General features: G+C 44.8%; 1 protein-coding gene across 2 annotated transcripts in view; it reads right to left on the reverse strand.

Annotated features, from left to right (window-relative positions):
• The window catches only part of SLC23A2 (solute carrier family 23 member 2), a 157,956-nt gene continuing 152,829 nt past the window's right edge, over positions 16,058-21,184 (reverse strand). For both annotated transcript variants that reach the window (NM_203327.2, NM_005116.6), the window contains exon 17: positions 16,058-20,904. In NM_203327.2, coding sequence (NP_976072.1) covers positions 20,672-20,904 — 233 coding nt within the window. In that variant the 3' untranslated portion in view covers positions 16,058-20,671. The remainder of the gene's footprint in view (positions 20,905-21,184) is intronic.

A 21,184-nucleotide genomic window follows, 5' to 3' on the forward strand; every position in this document is an offset into this window, starting at 1 on the left:
GAGCTGGGGGTTTCAGTCATATTGCAATAGGATGCCCTTGAATCATGGGTTTATTATAGGAGTTAGACCTTATGTCCTTGTGGGAAAAGCTGGTGAGGTAACACCTGTAAGGATCACTGGAAGATCAGAAAGATGTCACAGTGGAAACGATGAAAAAAATCTACGGAAGGCTGTTCTTTGTGTGTAGTGGTAAACCTGGGTCAGCCAGGGCAGGCTACAAAGAAAAGCTTGACACGAAGTGGGAAAAAGCAAACATGAATGGAGACCCAGGAAGCCACAGCAAAACCCATGAGGACAAATTGGAACCTGTCTGTCTTTCATACATCTGGAGTGACCTACAGAAGACGTCTGTGGGCTGGGTGCGGGTGGCTGACGCCTGTAATCTCAGCACTTTGGGAGAGTGAGGCAGGAGGACTGCTTGAGCCCAAATGTTCAAGACCAGCCTGGTTAACATGGAGAAACCCAATCCCTACAAAAAAATACAAAAATTAGCCGGGCATGGTGGTGTGTGCGTGTAGTCCCAGCTACTCAGGAGGCTGAGAAGTGAGAAGATTGTTTGAGCCCAAGAGGTCGAGGCTGCAGTGAGCTATGATTGTACCACTGCACTCCAGCCTGGGCAATAGAGTCCCTGTATCCAAAAAATTTAAAAATTTAAAAAACCCTCAGAGCTGCAAATGTAGGAGGTCCAATGTGAGGAGCAGGAGCTGTCGGTCTGACTGGCCTCAGGCAGATGAGGCCATGGGGATGGGGACAGATGCAGCTGTGGTGGCATCTAGAGCCTGCACCCATCTTCCAAATGTAACAGCTGCTGCTGCTGTCTGTCTCTTTCCAAATCTTGCACAAGTTACTCCTGTGGCCAGCCCTGACCTGGACACACAAAGGGGAGGGAATTCTGGGAGATATGACTCCAGCTTAGCTTGGTTGACACAGTACAAGCTACTGCAGAGTCCAAAACAGAGATGGAGTATAGAATAAATTGAGAGCTTTCTGTAATTCTGGTTTTGTTTAGTGTTACGAACGCGCTTGTATAAACTTAGGATTGTTTCTGAATGTGGTTTTGAGAAGTTGTATTTGTAGGAGTGATGGCATAGGATTTCTTTGTTCCCAATTTTTTTTTTTTTTGCATTTTTCCCTTTACTTGATAAGTGCATTTGCCTTCTGTTTTTCTTTTTGAGATCTACACACTTAAACCCTTTAATGGCTGTACCATTAGAAGTGCTTGATCTTAAAAAAATTGCAAGGGGATGCCATTGAAACCCTTTAAACTAGGAAAAGATGCAATCAAATTTACAATAAAAATATCACAGTGGCTGCCGTTTATACAATGGAGTGGCAAGGTGCAAAATTAAAACATGTAAACTGGTTAAGAGATTACTATGGAAGTTAAGAAACGAAACTGTGGTCATTTGGACTACAGGGGTGGATCAGTCAGCTATTGCCACAGTATTGCTGTGTAACTAACAAGCCCCTTAAAATAATGATAATTGGTAGGGAGCAGGTGGGATAGCTCTATTTCCTGCTGCAGCTCTGCCCTGTATGTCTGTCATTCTCCAGGCCCCAGAGGCTAGCCAGAGCATGTTCTCTTGATGATGTCTGAAGTGCAAGACAGCAAGCCCTGCCACACAAGCACATTTCAAGTCTTTGTGACAGCTCATTGGCTGAAGTCAGCCAACACGGCCAAGCCCAAGGTCAAGGCATATGGAAGAACATACCACCTTTAGTGGGAGGGGCTGCAAAGGCACATGGCAAAGGATATGGACTCAGGGTGAGTGAAGAACTGAGAAAAGTGATGCGATCTACTATCAGGGGTAACAGTGGATGTGGAGAGACAAGGGTAGACTCAGGAGGTGGTTGCAAGAAAAACCCACAACATGTGGTGATAGATTGAGTATGGAAAATGACAGAGAAGAAGGAATCACTCTGACAGCCAGGCTTTGAGAGAGGCTGATGGGGCTGGAGGAGAAGCATCTTTGGTGGAGAGGGACGGCAATGTTTCCAGTTTGAGAGGCATCCCGTGGTGGCTTCAGGTGAGTAGAGGGTCCTAAGTTCTGGAACTTGGAAACAAGGTCCAGGTAAAGGTTTAGAATAGTCATTGGCTTGTCAAAGCCTACCAAGTGCTTTGTGAAGTATTTGCTTGTGGCAATAACTTGTGACACCACAGGAGATCTGTCCTCCTTTCCCCAGCCCCACACCCTGCCACGGACCTCTGAAGACACCAGACCCCACGTGATTAAGTTCAAGGGGCATCATGCTGCCATGTGAGAAGACGATTCTCACTCAGGATCAGAGAGGCTGAAAGGAGATATCTGCATTTGGGTGGAGAGAGGGTTTTTGCTATTTCGTTTTGAGAAAATTATTTTTAGAAGCTTCAGAGTGATGGGCAACTTCTTCTTATCTCCACTCTTAGAAGGAGACATCTGTGAAATTCAGTGGTAATTGTGTGTGTCATAGTTCCTTCAAATGCAGACACTGAGACATAGACTCGAATGCAAGCTGCAGAGCTGGAAGGTGCACGGTGGGGAAGTGAAGGACCCCCACATGGGGTGTGTGGAGCAGGTTACCATCGTGGGACACTGGGAGGGCGCAGTCCCACCGGGAACTCTGGGAAAGTGTAGAGCATGGTTCTGCTACCCCACTTGAGGGAATAAAGAGCTGACACTGATCCCTTCAATCATGAGTTGAGGGCTGCCCTGCGGGCATTATCCCCTGGCACTTCCTGTTTGTTCAAAATGTTCCCATGGGCAGCTTCAGTCAGGTAAGTGCTGACAGGAGGTGGGTGGACACTGCCAGCATCTCCCACAGTGGGGAAAGAGGTCATCCTGTCCATCACACAGAGAGCACGAAAAGGAACCCTCCACCCTGCAACGCGGCCAGAGCCACAGGTGTTGGGAGGAGGGAAAATAGTGATCACTTCCAGAGTTTCTGGGAGCCATGGGTTCTCCCTGGGATGCCCTGATGTAGAGGCACCTTAAGAGAGCATTCCAGGGATGCACGTGGATTGTTCCCCTAGGGTGGGATTGACAGGGGGGTAGAATGTGACTTCAGTTCTGGGGGAAGTGCCCCACTCAAGAATGCAGGTTCTTTGGCTATCCCAGATGAGAGAGGCAGCCTAAGTGGCCCTGAGGTGAGAGAAAAGGCCACTTGGACATCAGTAGCCACACAATTACTGATGTGTGTGTTCCTGCCTCTCCCACTTCTGGGGTACACCTGCCTTCCGTTGAGCAAACTCCCATGATGCCCAAGCCTTAAGCAGAGGAAAAGCAAGACGTACAGATACTTGAGGCCAAAATCTGTCAGTGTTGGAAACTGTTCTCTGCAGCTGCAGGGGAATGCAAGTGGGCCAGGGGGATAGAGAACAGGAATCTGAATGCACAGTCAGACAGGGCCGTGGAACACCCCCAACCCCTAGGCACCATACTGTGGCCCCATGCTCTATGGGGCTGGTGAGCCTGGAGTGAGGGAGGAAATTAGTGGGTGGGGTGTGGCAGTGGAACTGTACCAAACAGATCCTGAGTAGGACTGGAAGCCCCCTACCAAAATGCCTGTGCTGGGGAAGACCAAAGGAAAATTCTAATGAGTTCTCAACATCAAGAGAAGAGCAATCATAAAACAAATGTTTCATTTTTGAAACATTCAATTTGTGCTTCTGCTACCTCAGATGAGAATACGAACCATGGCCATGGGGAGAGTGGGCAGCCTGAAGAGAAAAAAGACCCGAGGTAGGGTCTGCTAGTTGGGGTGGGAGCTTCCCTTTAAAACCTTTTGTAATTTCCCCATCTGTAAGATTACGTCCTGAAGGTTCATCACGGCTGATGTCTTAATGTGGCTTCACCCAACAGCAGCCCCTGCGTATTATCTATTGCTACAGAACAAATTACTGCAAAAGTTTGCAGCTTAAAACAATAACAAACACTCATTATTTCTTACAGTTATTGTGGGTTATGGATTTGGGAGCAGCTCAGCTGAGTGGTTCAGGCTCAGGGGCTCTCACTGGGTTGCTATCAGGATGTCAGCTGGAGCTGCAATCATCTGAAGGCTTGACTGGGGCTGGTGAATCCACTTCTAAGATGGCTCAGGCAGATGGATATTGTCAGAGGGCCTTGGTTCTGTCCCTTGATAGGCATGCTTGCATGCATCCATGGCATGATTCAAAAGAACAAGGTGGAGATTTGTAAAGTCTTTTATGACCTAGCCTTGGAAGACACACATCACAGCTACTGTAGTCTATTCCTTAGAAGCAGTCACTAAATCTGCCCGTACTCAAGAGGAGGGAAATTAGCTCCATCTATTGAAGGGAGGAGTGTCAAAGAATTTGTGAATATATTTTCAAATCACCACACCTTGAGACAAGAATTTGGGTGCACATGGTTCCCCCTGTAGGCAACTGCAGCTCAATCCTGTAGGTCCTCTGCGATACTGTGTGGAACATTCCTCTGAATCATCCTATCGGAGGGTAGAAGGCTGGGGCATTTTCCCACTAAGTCCCGCCTTGCATTGTTAAGATTAAGATCCTGCCTCCCTCACTTCCAGGATATACCTGCTGTCAGCTGAGGAAACTCCCATGATACCCAAACCTTAAGCAGAGGAAAAGCAAGATGTACAGATGCTTGAAGCAGGAAGCTGTCAGTGTGCTGGAAACTGTCCTCCTTTGCAGCTGCAGGGGAATGCAGGTGGGCCAGGGGTGTAGAGAACGGGGAGAGAACATCATCTGCTGAGGCCTACAGGGCAGCCCATTAGCCAGCCCTTGCTAGAGGCTCCATTTTCATTACTTACTTCTCTCTGTTCACATTGTATGCACCAACAAGGCTGAAGTGCTTGTTGCTCCCTGCACCTGCTCTGCTGTTTTATGCTTCCTTGACTTTGCTCAGTCAGCTGCCAGACCCCAGCATGAACAAAAAATTAGAAGAGCTCCTAGAAAGAGTTGAGAATAGCACCAAAAAAAAATTTCTGGAACTAAAAAATTTAGTTTTATCATGAATATTTACATACACACAGTAAAACATATAATAGATCTCCATATGCCATCAGCCGGATTTAACAGCCATAAAGATTTTGCCACACATGTTTCATCAACTTCTTGTCTTCTGTCAGTAATTTTTCCCATTAACCTTTAAAACTGTGATAAAATGCACATAATTTTTCCATCTTAACCATTTTTAAGTTTATAGTTCAGTGGTATGAAATACATTCATAATATTGTCATCACTATCCATCTCTAGAACTCTTTCATATTGTAAAACTGAAACTCTGTCCCCATTAAACAATAACTCTTGGCGGGGCGCGGTGGCTCACGCTTGTAATCTCAGCACTTTGGGACGTTGAAGTGGGTGGATCACAAGGTCAGGAGTTCCAGACCAGCCTGGCCAACACAGTGAAACCCCGTCTCTACTAAAAATACAAAATTAGCTGGGCATGCTGGCGGGCACCCGTAATCCCAGCTACTTGGGAGGCTGAGGCAGGAGAATCACTTGAACCTGGGAGGCAGAGGTTGCAGTGAGCCGAGATCGCACCACTGCACTCCAGCCTGGGAGACAGAGCTAGACTCCGTCTCGAAAAACAAAACAAAACAAAACAAACAAACAAACAAACAACTCTCCATCTCCCCCCTGCTCCCATCCCCCAGCAACAGCCATTCTACTTTCTATGATTTTGATTACTCTAAGTACCTCATATAATTGGAATTATATAATATTTGTCTTTTTGCGACTGGCTTATTTCACTTAGCATAATGTCCTCAAGGTACAACACAGATAAATGTGTCAGAATTTCCTCTCTTTGTAAGGTTGAGTGGTGTTCCATTGTATATTTATACAACAATTTGCTTATCCATTCATCCATAGGTTGAATGGATTTGCTTATTCATTCAACCCATGAACACTTGGGTTGCTTCCATTTTTTTAACTTGTGAATAATGCTGTTGTAAACATCAGTGCCCAGATATCTTTGGGACCCTGCTTTCAGTTCTTTTGGGTATGTACCCAGAAATGGGATTGCTGAATCATATAGTAATTTTTTTTTGAGACAGCCTCACTCTGTTGCCCAGGCTGGAGTGCAATGGCACGATCTCAGCTCACTGCAACCTCCACCTCCCGGGTTTAAGCGATGCTCCTGCCTCAGCCTCCTGAGTAGTTGGGATTACAGGTGCATGCCACTCGCCCGGCTAATTTTTGTATTTTTAGTAGAGACAGGGTTTCACCATGTTGGCCAGGCTGGTCTCGAACTCCTGACCTTGTGATTCACCTGCCTCAGCCTCCCAAATCATATGGTAATTCTATTACTATTTTTTTGAGGAACCACCATACTGTTTTTCATAGTGATATACCATTTTACATTCTCACCAACCGAGCACAGGGATTCCAATGTCTCCGCATCCTCACCAACACTTATTATTAATATTTTCCATTTTTTTTGATAGTAGCCATCCTAATGGGCATAAAATGATACCTCATTATTGTTTTGATTTGTAGTTCCCCAATGATTACTGAGGTTGGACATCTTTTCATTGCTTATTGGTCAATTGTATATTGTATTGTATTCTTTGAAGAAATGTCTATTCAAGTCCTTTGCTCATTTTTGAATTGCATTGTTTGTTTTTGTTGTTGTTATTAGGGGTTTTCTAAATGTTCTGGATAGTAATCCCTTATCAGATATATGATTTGCAAATATTTTCTCCCATTCTGTGGGTTGGCTGTTTACTCTGATATTATCTTTTGATGCACAATTTAAAAAATGTGTATATAGTCCAATTTTGTCATGAAGATTTTGCCCTATGCTTTCTTTTACGAGTTTTATAGTTTCAGATCTTACATGTAGGTCTTTGGTCCCTAATGAGTTAATTTTTGTATATGGTGTTTGGTAAGGGTTCAACTTATTCTTTTCTCTATGGATATCTAGTTTTTCGGCATCATTTGATGAAAAGACGGTCTTTTCTCCTAATAAATGGTCAAAATAAAAACCATTTAACTGGCCGGGCGTGGTGGTTCATGCCTGTAATCCCAGCACTTTGGGAGGCTGAGGCAGGTGGATCACCTTGAGGTCAGGAATTTGAGACCAATCTGGCCAACATGGTGAAACCCCATCTCTACTAAAAATACAAAAATTAGCTGGGCATGGTGGTGAGTGCCTGTAATCCCAGCTACTCGGGAGGCTGAGGCAGGAGAATAGCTTGAACCTGGGAGGCAGAGGTTGCAGTGAGCCAAGATCATGCCACTGCACTCCAGCCTGGTGACAGAGCAAAACTCCATCTCGGGGGGAAAAAAAACAACCATTTGACCATATGTGTGAGGGTTTATTTCTGGGTTCTCTATTCTATAACATTGGTCTATCTATCTGTCTCTATGATAGCACCACACTGTTTTGATTACTGTAGCTTTGTTCAACTATGTATTTTAAAGCAAATTTCGGACACCATGTCATATCACCCCTACATATTTCAAAGCACATCTCTTAAAAATATGCATGTGCTCTCATCTAACCACAATTTGACACATGCTTTATCTCTCCACCTTTTTTTTTTTTACTTCGTGAAAGTATTTTAAATATAATTCTTTTTCTTTTTCTTTTTTTTTTTGAGACGGAGTCAGCCTCTTTTGCCCAGGCTAGAGTGCAGCGGCACGATCTCGGCTCAAATGCAACCTCCGCCTTCCAGGTTCAAGCAATTATTCTGCTTCAGCCTCCCAAGTAGCTGGGATTACCATGCCTGGTTAATTTTTGTATTTTCAGTAGAGACGGGGTTTTGCCATGTTGACCAGGCTAGCCTTGAACTCCTGACCTCAAGTGATCTGCCTGCCTTGGCCTCTCAAAGTGCTAAGATTACAGGCATGAGCCACTGTGCCCAGCCTTTTAAAGAGAATTCTTTAAGCACAATTATCAAAATGTAATTTTTTATGGCACAGGATCCCTGCATACAAATGTAACTTTTAAATTAACATATTTGGTTGATGAATTAAATGAAAGGATGGCCAACACAGGAAGCTAACAGATAGTGGAATAACAAGTACTGATTTTAAAAAATAAATAAATAATAAAACAGCAAACTAAGAATCTTTTCTACTAGACTAAGATATCACTGACATGTCAGAGTAAAAAAAGTTATGGACACGAGAAACATCAGAATGTACTGTACCTTAGAATGAAATCTCACAGAAAAGAACTCTGTCTAAAAACAAACGACTCAGGCTGGACACGGTGGCTCAGGCCTATAATCACAGCACTTTGGGATGCAAAGGCGGGTGGATTGCCTGAGACCAGGACTTCAAGACCAGCCTGGGGAGCATGGCAGAACCTCATCTCTACACAACATATTAATACAAAAATTAGCTGGGTGTGGTAGTATATGCCTGTAGTCCCAGCCATTTGGGAGGCTAAGGTAGGAGGATCCCTTGAACCTGGGAGGTCAAGGCTGCAGTGAGCTGTGATCATGCCACTACACTCCAGCCTGGGTGACAGAGCAAGGCCTGTCTCAAGAAAAGGAAGGAGGGAACGAAGGAAGGAAGGAAGGAAGGAAGGAAGGAAGGAAGGAAGGAAGGGGAGGGGAGGGGAGGGGAGGGGAGGGGAGGGGGGAGGGGAGGGGGGGAGGGGGAAAAAAAACCAAATGACTCAAAACAGAGATATCAAGTTGAGACAGAGTAAAGAAAAGAGGAAACAGTGGTGAGCAATAGACCTTTCAAAACACATAGTGAAATCTAACAGGCTAATACACTGTATAAAATTGTGTAGTATAAGCACACAGTAAGAATTTATAGCTAGAAGAAAGAATACAAGAGAAATTCAAATAATCAGCTGAAATGAAGAGTATTAACTTATCTCTGCAAAATTTAGGAGTTATGCCACACGTGATGGCTCACGCCTGTAATCCTAGCACTTTGGGAGGTCGAGGCAGGCGGATTGCTTGAGCCCAAGAGTTTGAGACCAGCCTGGGCAATATGGTGAAACCCCATCTTTACAAAAGATACAAAAATTAGCCGGATGTGGTGGTGCATGCCTGCAGTCCCAGTAACAGGGAAGCTGAAGCGGGAGGATCACCCGAGCCTGGGAGGTTGAGGACTATTTGCCGAGATTCCAATATGGATTTGCCTTATTGTAACAGAGACAGATAGATCAGTGGAAGAACCAATCATAAATATAAATTCCAGAAGCATAAAACACTTAAATGTAAAATATTAAATGATAAAAATCAAGAATGAAGTATCGGACCACACATACAACCTAGGGATGGAGAAATTATCTAAAAGAAAACAGGAAACCCACTTGCTCTGCAGATCCAGATAGTTAACTAAGCATTTATAAAAGCTTTTTATGTATTATGGATATTCAAATCTTTATCTGTATTGCAAATATTTTTTCCCAAATTTATTTGTGTGTAGACTTTAATTATCTCTTGCCAAGAAATAGCAATAGGCAAATAAATTTGGGAAAGAAATATTTGCAATACAGATTAAGAGTTAAATACCCATAATACACAAAAAATAACTCTCACAAAACAAAAGATAACCTAAAAGACAAATGGCAGATGACCTGTGCAGCAAATCACCATGGCACATGTTTACCTGTGTAACAAATCTGCACATCATGCACATGTACCCCGAACTTAAAATAAAAGTTGAAGAAAAAAAAGAAAAAGAAAAATGATAAAGAATATGAATAGAAAATCCATAGAAGGGCAAATCGAAATGGCTGAGAAATAGAAAAGAACTACTTGAACACATTCGCGATCAAGGAAACACAACTTCAAGGAAATACCACTTAAGGTACCATGAAATGTATTTATTAGACTGACAAAATTTAAAACGTAACAGCATTATTGACAGAGATGAAGGAGTGCGGAATCGGGTAAGGTACTTTCATACTTTCTGGTGGAAATGTAAATTATTATAGTTTTTTGGAAGGCAATCTGGTAACGACATCCCTTAAAATTTAAAATACCCGGCCTGGCGTGGTGGCTCACCCCTATAATCCCAGCACTTTGGGAGGCCGAGGCGGGCAGATCACCTGAGGTCAGGAGTTCAAGACCAGCCTGGCCAACATGGTGAAACCCTGTCTCTATTAAATACACAAAAATCAGCTGGGCGCGGTGGTGTGTGCCTGTAATCCCAGCTACTCGGGAGGCTGAGGCAGGAGAATTGCTTGAGTCAGGGAGGCGGAGGTTGCAGTGAGCCAAGATTGCGCCATTGCACTCCAACCTGGGCGACAGAGCAAGATTCCGTCTCAAAAAAAAAAAAAAAAAAAAAAGGAAAATGAAAAATACCCGTACTATTTAGCCCAGCAATACTACTCCTGGGAATGTATTTTATCATTTGTTTAAACCTAGATAAAACAATGTTTGTTATAGCTATATGTGACGGCTAAAAACTAGGAATATGAGTATCTCTCAACTTTGAATAAGCTACGGTGGATCTACAGCAAGGAATACGTGAAATCATCAGGAAAATTAATTAGAGTGGGACCAGCTAAATTGTAGGGATTTCCACAAGATATTGCTCAGTAAACAATGCAAGATGCAGAAAAGTGTGTATGAGAGCAATGACAAAACATGAAGGAATATATGTGTGGTGTATATGTGTGCGTACATGTAGAATAGCTAGCTAGCTAGATGTTGACAGGGTTATGAGCATAGAGAAATGTGTGAATGATACCAAGCCCATTGCTCACATGGAGCAAGGCAGGAGGATGGGCAGAAGGAGAGGGGGATGGCAGAGGAGAAGCAAACAGAAGAGATGAAAAAAAACTGCACTAAAAAGGAGTCCATGTGCATAAGATCTTGGTTATGTTAAATTGTATCTTGATGCATAAAATATGAAATCTGTATCTTCCCATTGGCAGAAATGCCCCCACCATATTGTCAAGTGAAAAAAGCAAGTGGCAGTGTAGTATGCTTCTATTTATAAGTGATACGAATTGGGATTTTGAGGCTCACAGTGCCTCAAAGGGGTTGGAAGGTTGGAGCGGCAATGGAGGAAGAGTCTTCTTGTCGTTCTGCTGGGGGATGTGTCTGGAGACAACACTGGTCCAGTTAAGGCAAGGGCTGCCTTGGTATGTGTGTAGGTTGGGGTAGGTGTGGGGGTGGTCATTGTAGACTTCGGGGTACAGCTCAAAGCAGATGCCTAAATCCCACTATCTGAGTCATTCCTTCAGTCTGAACCTGTGGTTCCAAGTCTGGTTTTATTTTTCCCAAGGATGGAAGGTTCTGGAAGACTTTGTCTACTAAATCATGTCATTTGTTAGGCAAAACCTCTCCCATCCTGGACAAAAGGTGGCAATACATATGAGGTGGCTTCAACACTCTCATATTTATACTGAGATATATTTGGCTGCAAATGTTATTTTAACGTCAAGCACAATCTGAGGAAGTACAAGTTTTCATATTAGTTTTAGAGAAGCACAGAGGGTTTCCTATTTCTTAACTTGTGATACAGATTGAGTATCCTTTATTTAAAATGCGTGGGACCAGAAGTGTTTTGGATTTTGGATTTTTTTTTCAGATTTTGGAATATTTGCATTGTACTTACTGGCTGAGCATCCCTAATCTGAAAATCTGAAATCCCAAATCTGATATGCTTGGTCTCAATGGTCTCTCGTGCTCATGCTTTGAGCATGTCATCAGTGCTCAAAATGTTTCAGACTTCGGAGCATTTCAGGTTTTGAATTTTTGGATTAGGGATACTCAACCTGTATCAGCAAATACAGGCATGTGTTGACTAACAACAGGGATACGTTTTGAGAAATGTGTTGTTAGACGATTTTGTTGAGTGAACATCATAGTGTTCTTACACAAACCTAGATAGTATACCCTATTACACACCTAGGCTACAGACCTACACAGCATGTTACTGTAATGAATACTGCCGGCCAGGGGTCCCCAACCCCTGGGCCGCAGACTGGTACCAGCCCATGGCCTGTTAGGACTGGGCCACATAACAGGAGGTGAGTGGCAGGCGAGGGAGGGAGCATTACTGCCTGAGCTCCGCCCCCTGTCAGATCAGCAGTACATTAGAGCATAGAGTACATAGGAGCATGAACCCTATTGTGAACTGCGTGTGCGAGGGATCTAGGCTGTGGCTCCTTATGAGAATCTGACTAATGTCTGATGATCTGAGGTGGAGCAGTTTCATCCTGAAACCATCCATCCTCCCACCCCGCAAATCCATGGAAAAAATTGTCTTCCACGAAACCGGTCCCTGGTGCCAAAAAGGTTGGGTACCGCTGCTGTAGGCAATTGTAACACAACGGGAAGTATGTGTTTATTTATTTATTTTTTTAGGACAGGGTCTTTCTTTGTCACCCAGGCTGGACTGTAGCGGCGGGATCTTGGCTCAATGCAGCCTCAACCTCCCAGACTCAGGTGATCCTCCCACCTCAGCCTCCCGAATAGCTGGGACCACAGGCATGCACCACCATGCCCAGCTACTTTTTCAATTTTTTGTAGAGATCAGTTGTTTTTTGCTTTTCCTGACTTATCACAGACTTTTGTAAAATATTTTTAAAAATAAACCATGGAATTAAAGATAATGTTGGGCATGGTTGCTCATGTCTGTAATCTCAGCACTTTGGGAGGCTGAAGTGGACAGATCGCTTGGGCTAAGGAGTTCAAGACCAGCCTGGGCAACATGGAGAAACCCTATCTCTACCCAAAAAAAAAAAAAAAAAAAAAAAAAAAAAAAAGTAGCCAGGCATGGTGGCATGTGCCTGTAATCCCAGCTACCAGGGAGACTGAGGTGAGAGGATCACGAGAGCCCAGGTCAAGGCTGCAGTGAGCTGAGATTGCGCCACTGCACTCCAGCCTAGGCAATGGAATAAGAACCTATCTCAAAAAAAAAAAAAAAAAAAAAAAAAAGCAAAAAATAAGCCCAGGTATTTTAGTATTACAGTCAGCACACATAAAATGACTGTCAAATTGCTTAGAAACTTTTATAAAGTTGCTAAGACTCAATTTCTGAACATATATTATGGCAGTCTTTAACAGTCCAAGACCACACTTTGGAACACCAGTGTTATAAAAAGGACATATCAGGATTTTGGTTTGACATTTAATCTGACAATCATTTAACTAATGAGTTTGGTTCATTTATTGTTATTGGTATATTTAGGCCTGTTTCTAGAACTCACATCTATATGTCCTCTTTCCAACACCACAGTGATAGGGCCTCCAATTACACTGTAATATTATGGATATTTCTTTTTTCTTTCCTGTGGTCCTGGCTTATTTCCAGTGACCAGGCTTACCAAATATTTCTTGCTCATCTTCCCTTCAGTTATCTCCTACAGCACTTCCTAGGTTTGTTGAAGTATTTTACCCAAAAATATTAAAATGTGGGCATTCAAGTGGCTAGACATAACATTCTAAGTTCAAAGTTCTTTTCCTTCAGTTCTTAAAAAATGCTGCTGAAAAATCCAAGGCTTATTGGATCAGAGCTCTTGAGGTTTTGATTCTGTTCATTCTCTCTGGAAGCTTTCAGAATGTTGTCTTCGTTCATCTTAAATTTTACTACCCAGTAATGAAAATGAAATGCACTACATTAAAGAGATGTATCAACATAAAAGTATCTCATAACACTGAATAAAGCATGACAACATGTATCTCATTCCTTTTACATCATGTTCAAAACCATGCAAAACTTAATAGATTACTTGGGGGTGCTGTTATGTGGCAAAATTGTGAAGGCAAGGACAGGATAAATTCAAAATTTAGGGTAGCAGCTCTCTTGATGGGGATGAAGATGCAGTAGGAGAAGGGTCCCGAGGGGTGGGGTGTCTGAAGCACTGTTTGTTTGTTTGTTTGTTTTGAGAAGGAGTCTCGATCTGTAGCCCAGGCTGGAGTGCAGTGGCACGATCTCGGCTCACTGCAAGCTCTGCCTCCTGGGTTCACGCCATTCTCCTGCCTCAGCCTCCCGAGTAGCTGGGACTACAGGCGCCCGCCACCACGCCCGGCTAATTTTTTGTATTTTTAGTAGAGATGGTGTTTCACCGTGTTAGCCAGGATGGTCTCGATCTCCTGACCTCGTGATGCACCCGCCTCGGCCTCCCAAAGTGCTCGGATTACAGGCGTTGAGCCACCGCGCCTGGCCTGAAGCACTGTTAATATGCTGTGGTCGGAGCCGGGGGTGGAAACATGGGTACTCCTTACTTTTTAAATACCTTACAAAATCTTTTGCATGTACCTAACTTCAGGTAAAATAATCCCCCTTGTGATGAACTCGCCAGCAGCGGTTCATAGGTCAGGATATTGGGAATGGTGGCAGCTGGCTGCAGGTCTTACAGGAGCGGCTGCAGTGGACAGTCATAGCTCAATGGGCCAGAGAAGAACCACGGGTTGAGATGGGAATGGGGTAGTTCTAGGTTTGCCCTAAACCTGGGGTGTCCAATCTTTTGGCTTCCCTAGGCCACACTGGAATACTGTCTTGGGCCTCACATGAAATACACTAACATCAGCTGATGAGCCAAAAAAAAAAAAAAAATCGGCCAGGCTTGTTAGCTTACGCCTGTAATCCCAGCACTTTGGGAGGCTGAGGCGGGTGAATCACCTGAGGTCAGGAGTTTGAAACCAGCCTGACCAACACGGTGAAACTCCATCTCTACTAAATACAAAAAATTAGCCGGGCATGGTGGTGCATGCCTGTAATCCCACCTACTTGGGAGGCTGAGGCAGGAGAATTGCTTGAACCTGGGAGGCGGAGATTGCAGTGAGACAAGATTGTGCAATTGCACTCCAGCCTGGGCAACAAGAGCAAAACTCCGTCTCAAGAAAAAAAAAAAATCACAAAAAATCTCAATGTTTTAAGAAAGTTTAAGAATTTGTGTTGGGCAGCTTTCAAAGCCATCCTGGGTCGCATGTGGCCTGTGGGCCGTGGGTTGGACAAGCTTGCCCTAAGTGAAAAAACACATCTAATCACCTCTGGACCCATCATTATACCCCACCAGGGAGCCACGCTGAGGACAGAATGGAGCTGCTCTCAGTCCCCCACAGCTCAGCATTTCCTGACCCAGTCTGAATACTCAGCCTGAAAGTGGGCATGGCTGGTGAGACCCTCTCTGGTCACCACTCCCAAAATGTCTTCCACCTCCAGATGTGTTACTGTAATAACAGACTCAGAATTTCACCCCCTAAGTCCAACATGGGTGCACTCTCTAACTTTTTGAGGCCTCTGAGACTTTACTTCCTCCTTCCACATCCTCGCAAGAGTCCTGCCCAATCTCTGGTTCTCTGGGAACGAGGACTGATTGTCCCTTTCCTGTAGCTTTCATTGATCAGTCTGCCAGGCACCTGACAATGATAACGCTCATGAACTTGTTGAATTGAATTTCTTATCCGTTGATTTCCTCCCCTAGGTGACAACTTTTAATTAATTACCATCGGCTTTCTGTACCTGAGGCTTCTGTATCCTTGGATTCAACCGAGGATTGAAAATAAAAAACAATAAAAACAACACAATAAAAATGCAAATATAGAAACAATACAGTGTAACAAGTATTACATAGCCTTTATATTGTATTTGATATTATAAGTCCTCTAGAGATGATTTAAAGAATACAGGAAGATATGCATAGATTATATCCAAATCTATACACTACACCATATCCATGTACACATACACTACACCAAAATCCACAACACCATTTTATGTTTTTGAGACAGTCTTACTCTGTCACCTCGCCTGGGGTCCAGTGGTGCGAACACGGCTCACCGCAGTCTTGAACTCCTGGGCTCAAGCAATCCTCCCACCTCAGCCTCCTAAGTAGCTGGGACCACAGGCGTTCACCACCATGTGTGCCTAATTTTTTTTAGTGAAGGGGCGGGGCGGGGGGGGCGGGTTTCACTATGTTGCCTAGGCTGGTCTCGAACTCCTGGCCTCAAGCAATTCTCCCGCCTTGGCCTCTCAAAGTGCTGAGATTACATGGGTGAGCCGCTGTGCCTGACCCACTATGCCATTTTATATCAGGGACTTGAGTAGTCTCGGATTTTGGTATCCGAGGAGGTCTTGGAACCAATCCCCTACAGATTCTGAGGGATGACTCTTTTCTTAAAGAGTAGCCCAAGAAGGAGGCACGTGAAGAGCAAAACTGTGTCCAGGAGAGCTTTTATTTGTACGGAACAGTTTTAAAAATACAGAATAAAATAGCTTTATCTCTACTATTATTCACAACATCTGGTCCAAATATTACATATTTTTAAAATACTTAAACGTTTAATGAAGCCATGTTAGAAAAACAATATGAAAATTCTTTTTAAAAACTCCATAAAAGAATTACACATCTCAAAAAACAACCCCACCCCAAATACCCTCGGTAATCAAAATAAAAATAAAAAACAAACAAAACCCCAGAAAGGTATATATAGCCAAAGTCAGTCACAAAAACTCAAGGAAAATATAGGCATCCCCACTGTTTTAAGAACAGTCAGAAATGTATTAAGGTGTCAAATGAAGATTGTTACTAACGAACAAAAAAGGAGAGTCATTTGAACTGTCAGTAAGATGGCAACGTGGGGAAGGGTGTCCTAAGTGCCTGGAAACACGCACAGCAATGCTAAGGACATGGGAGGGTAGAGTGATGCTGAAACACAGTCAACACCAACCAGAAAGGACGGGAATGTCTGTGAGGCTGCTGAAAAGAGACCCCCAACGCTAATGTGCCTTATGGGTCCATGGGCAGACGCTGAACGCTGGCAAAACCGGGTGGCCGTTCTTGCACTACTCGGGTTCTGACTGCAGGAGGGGCAGAGGGTGGTCGATGTCCTAGTCCCTGTGTCTAAAAAGTCATGAGGGGACAGAGTACAACAGGCAGCACGTTAAGTCCCTGGGCTCTTTTCCAAAGCCAAGAGGAGGCTCCCTGGAGAAGCGAGCTTTGCGAATGCTCAGGCCCGGAGCCGCACACTAACGCGGCGTGCAGCAGGTGTGGCTGGGTGTGCACAGCTGGCGTCCAGCGACAGCCATGCCGGGCCTATGCCTATAGCGAGTGTACACCCCATGCACGGCCATCCCCCAGGATGCTGCTGCTTCTCTGGCCAGATGGGTTCTGGAATGAGGCTTCTGCTACTGCTCCATATTCACCTTCAATCTGGCCTGGCCACTCCCATGGCATCCGTATTACTGAAGATGAGACTTGCCAACTTTAAGTTGCTAGTACCAATATTTCAGCAGGGATATGAATGAAAGAAATAACAACTTAGCTCATGGTCATAAAATATACGTATGGGTAAATAAAGTATACACACATACTAGAGATTCATCAATGGAGAAATTCTATCATCACATGACATTGTCATGAAAATTATATCATTCCCTCCCTGGAAAACTGTGACTATTATCCTGGGTAGAAATGTTATTTTGCTATATGGAAATACTGCAATATTCATGCATAAACCAAGTTGTCATCATGAAAGTCGGTATTCTACAGCATAAAGCAAAACCTCTGTGCGAATTTGTTACCATGAAAACGGGAAACCATCAGGACCCATGATGCTTCATTCTGGCTGGCATGGTTAAAGCCACTTCTCTTGCCTTGATCAATCCCAAGAAACTAAAAGTTAGCATTTGAAATCCTCTTGAGGATTCTGAAAGTAAATGTATCTGTGAATCTACATTTAACTTCCTAATGAGAATGAAAATTGCTTACAAAGACTAGAGTCACTTCCCATTATTCTGTGAAGCAGGGGTGGGGGCCCTCCATCCCCCACTGTGAATATGGCATCACCTCCTGTCCGTATTCACGCTGTCTACATTTCATGTTGGGATTGCCCACACAAATGCTTTCTTTCAGGGACCAGGCAGGTGACCTGGGAAGGTGGTGGGTAGGTGGTCTCTGTGGAAACTGGAGACTAACCGGCCTGCAAGGACATTCACATCCAAAATATTTTACAACACTCTACAGGCAAAACAAAGTACGGGGTGGTGGTTCAAAGCCCCAGCAACGCAGGCCAATGATGTGAATGGGAAGTGTCATGACACAGACCGCGAGTGGCCACCGTGTCCCCCAATATCTCCCCTTCAGGTGTGTGCTTAAACCCAAGAAGCAGATGAATACATTCTTTTTCTTTCAATTACAAACTTTCATTCTGTAGCATATTTTCCAGTAGGAGAACCACTTCCTAAAATGGTGTGTGTGTGTGTGTGTGTGTGTGTTACATGTTCAAGTTTATTAGTCATTAGGGGACTCCAATCACTCAAGGCTGTGCAGAAAGTACCAGATTCAGCAGGGGCATCTAGTCAGGCTGCCCTCTTTGCTCCCCACCTCCTATTCCCTTACCCCTCCTCGGACAGAATTATTGGGTTGGCCACAGTGGAATCAGAACAGGAAACTCTCACTCCAACAGGAGTTGAAAGGGTAGGGCTTCCTTCCCTGTGTGAAGGCCTACAGAGGGCACCCCACATGTTAGCGGGGTTGAATCCTCCTGATACAACCCGGCCCAAGGAGGGGCTTCAGAAGGGAGTGGGTTTCTGGATGACTAGAGCAGACACCTTGAGTGTTATGCAGCGGAAGACGCCCAGTCAAGCTGAAGAGAAGGTGCCCCTGGATCACCAATGGCTTTCAGGCTTTTATTTGGATATTTGGTCTTTCTGCTCACCTGGAGAGCTAGAAGATTGCAAATCTCTGGGATGTTTAGCAGTTTTCCCCATTTTTCAGAGCAGAGAAACTGGAGATGTTGAGCAAAATCCAAACAGAAGGAACTGAGAGCAACTCATTGCAGGAGGGCTGCCAGCCTCAAGAGTGTCCCAAGGCAAGAGGGATGGAAACCGCGAGCCAGTGTGCTTCTAAAGTATGCATCAAAGACACATTTAAAAAAACATACAAAATTAGATGTAATTTAGCATCTAAGTTCTTTACTTAATCTGCAGTAAGTTTTTGGCAAAACAATGCAGTGGCTCCGAGGTGTTCTTGCCAGAATAAACCTTGAAGCCCCAAACTTCCAAGAGTGAAGGGGGCTACGGTGACATGGCAATGCTGCAAAGACAGCGCCGCAGCACTGGAGAGCTGAGCCAGCCTGGGGCCGAGGGGGACAGGAATGCACCGTGTGGACACCAGGCTGCCAAGAACCATGCCCTGCCGCTGGAGACAGGAGACAGGCACCCACGCAGCTGACCAAAGCTCGACCAGGCCAACGGCCACCGAAGATGTGCCACCTCATGAAGCGAGGGCACTGCTTCCTATCTCAGGCCTTTTCCTTCACTGAAAAACTTCAAACCAAACCAAGAGGAGTCATTTCTCAGGAAGAATTTAGTGTTATTAATTAGAACTCTCTTAAGTGAGAGGGAGCCTGTTGGCTGCTTTTCTTATCACCTTTGGCAACCACCCTCACCTGTAAAATCAAGATCTAACGGACGTGCGACATGGCAACCCACAGGAAGTCTCCTTAAGCCAAGACTTGCAACAGAAGCCCGGCAAGCGGGACAGACCGGCGGACAGACCGTTCCACGTGGCGGCTCTGCGTGTTACCTGCCCCAGCTTCCCTTCTTCACAAAACAAATTCACGTGTAACTTGACCCATGGTTTCTGGGCTCCGGTCCAGTAGTCAGTTTTGATAAATAGATTAGGCATTACAGTATTTACACTTTCATGGTATCAAGCAATACAAAACACAACCACAACAATGGTTACTGGCCTTCAAAAGCCGTTACAACAAGCTTCCCTGATGGTGTCCACAGCTTTACAAATGCTGGTTCTTTTCTTGATGGGGGGAAGAGTGGGTGGGGGACAAGGAATAGGGATGCAAGGAAAGAGGGTCACATGGAAAACACTGATTTCCAAAATCTGCTATAGTCAATAACATTAAATAGGAATAAAACCTTGTAATTATAGACGCGCGCGACAATAACATCCACATGACGGCAGAGCCAAGACGCCCATCAGCTTGTGTGACTGGTGCCTTGGGTGGCACTCTATACTCATCACACCGGCCAACAGTGATAAATGCCAGAGAGGGTGTCTCGGCCACTAGTGAAATGAAAAGAGGCCAGTGTGCACGTGCTGGCCCGGTCAGGGCCAGGGTGGCCAAGAGAAGGTGCAGCCGAGAATCAGATATTGGCTTCAGGGTCCTTTCCTTTTCCCTCCAATGCCCCAAACAGATGTTCATTCAACATCTGTGCAGGCCTCACCCATGGCCAGATCTGGGCACAGGGGAGCCACGCCACTGTTTTCAGGTCAACAGCCTCCTCCTCCGGGAGATCAGCGACAACAGAATCATACTGGGCCAGTCAGTCATGATAGCGCAAGGCATACTAGTGCCCCTTGGTCAGAGGAGGTCTCCGCGGGCACAGACGAGGGTCAAATGACAAGGAAACAGGTCCAGGGGCTTCGGAGAGAGAGAGAAAGCCCCTGGACCCTGGAGGTGGCTTATAGGAAAGCCAGCCCTGGGTGGTGGAAGGGAACTGAAGCAAGGAATGGCTGCAGATTTTAAATGTCCACTCCAAAGGGAGGACTGGAACTTCAAATTTAGTGACCATGGCCAGCAATGGACACTCTCAAAGGGCAAGGAGTTAAGGGCTTAAATAAGGAGATAGGCGAGACACCGCATCAGGCACCATCACCCTCACAGCAGAAAAGTGATTCGCAGTCTGTCTTAGCTCTGGGGCGCAGAATGTAAATGTAGATATACAAACATGTATTTTACTTCTTGTTACTCAGCAAGGAACTACAGATACATGCCTCACTGCGGCCAGGCCACAGGGCACAGCAAAGGCTATCCCGTGGCCTGGGAGTCTTCATCTGAACTCCGGCTGTTGTCGCTCTTCCTGAGGCCTTTCCATGTGTAGCCCACAAAGGTTGGGCTGATGGGTAAGTAGCTGAAGCATCTGTATTTTTTTATAATGTTCATGCCAAATGGCAAATTGTACGACTCCATGCCGTCGAGTGATTTGTTCCCTTTGCCCACACCCTTCTTCCATTTCCGGATTCCTCTTTCCTCTGGAGTGCCTGTCACACATCCCAAGATAGAACAAAGGAATGCTTCGTTTAGCAGCTCTACTGAAAATGAAACTGTCGTCAAACACATACACACACACACACACACACACACACACACACACACACACACACACACACACATGGTCCCACAGATCAAACCTGCCTAGATAACAGCAAAGAATACTTGAGGAGGTGAAGGTGCTCAGCTATCCAGTGCCCAAACCAGAAGTCTAAGAAGCACTAACCCCTCCATGTCCTCATTCAAGCAATCACCTAATGACCTTCTGAC

Source organism: Homo sapiens, chromosome 20 (assembly GCF_000001405.40).
Source record: "Homo sapiens chromosome 20, GRCh38.p14 Primary Assembly".
Lineage (NCBI taxonomy): Eukaryota > Metazoa > Chordata > Mammalia > Primates > Hominidae > Homo > Homo sapiens.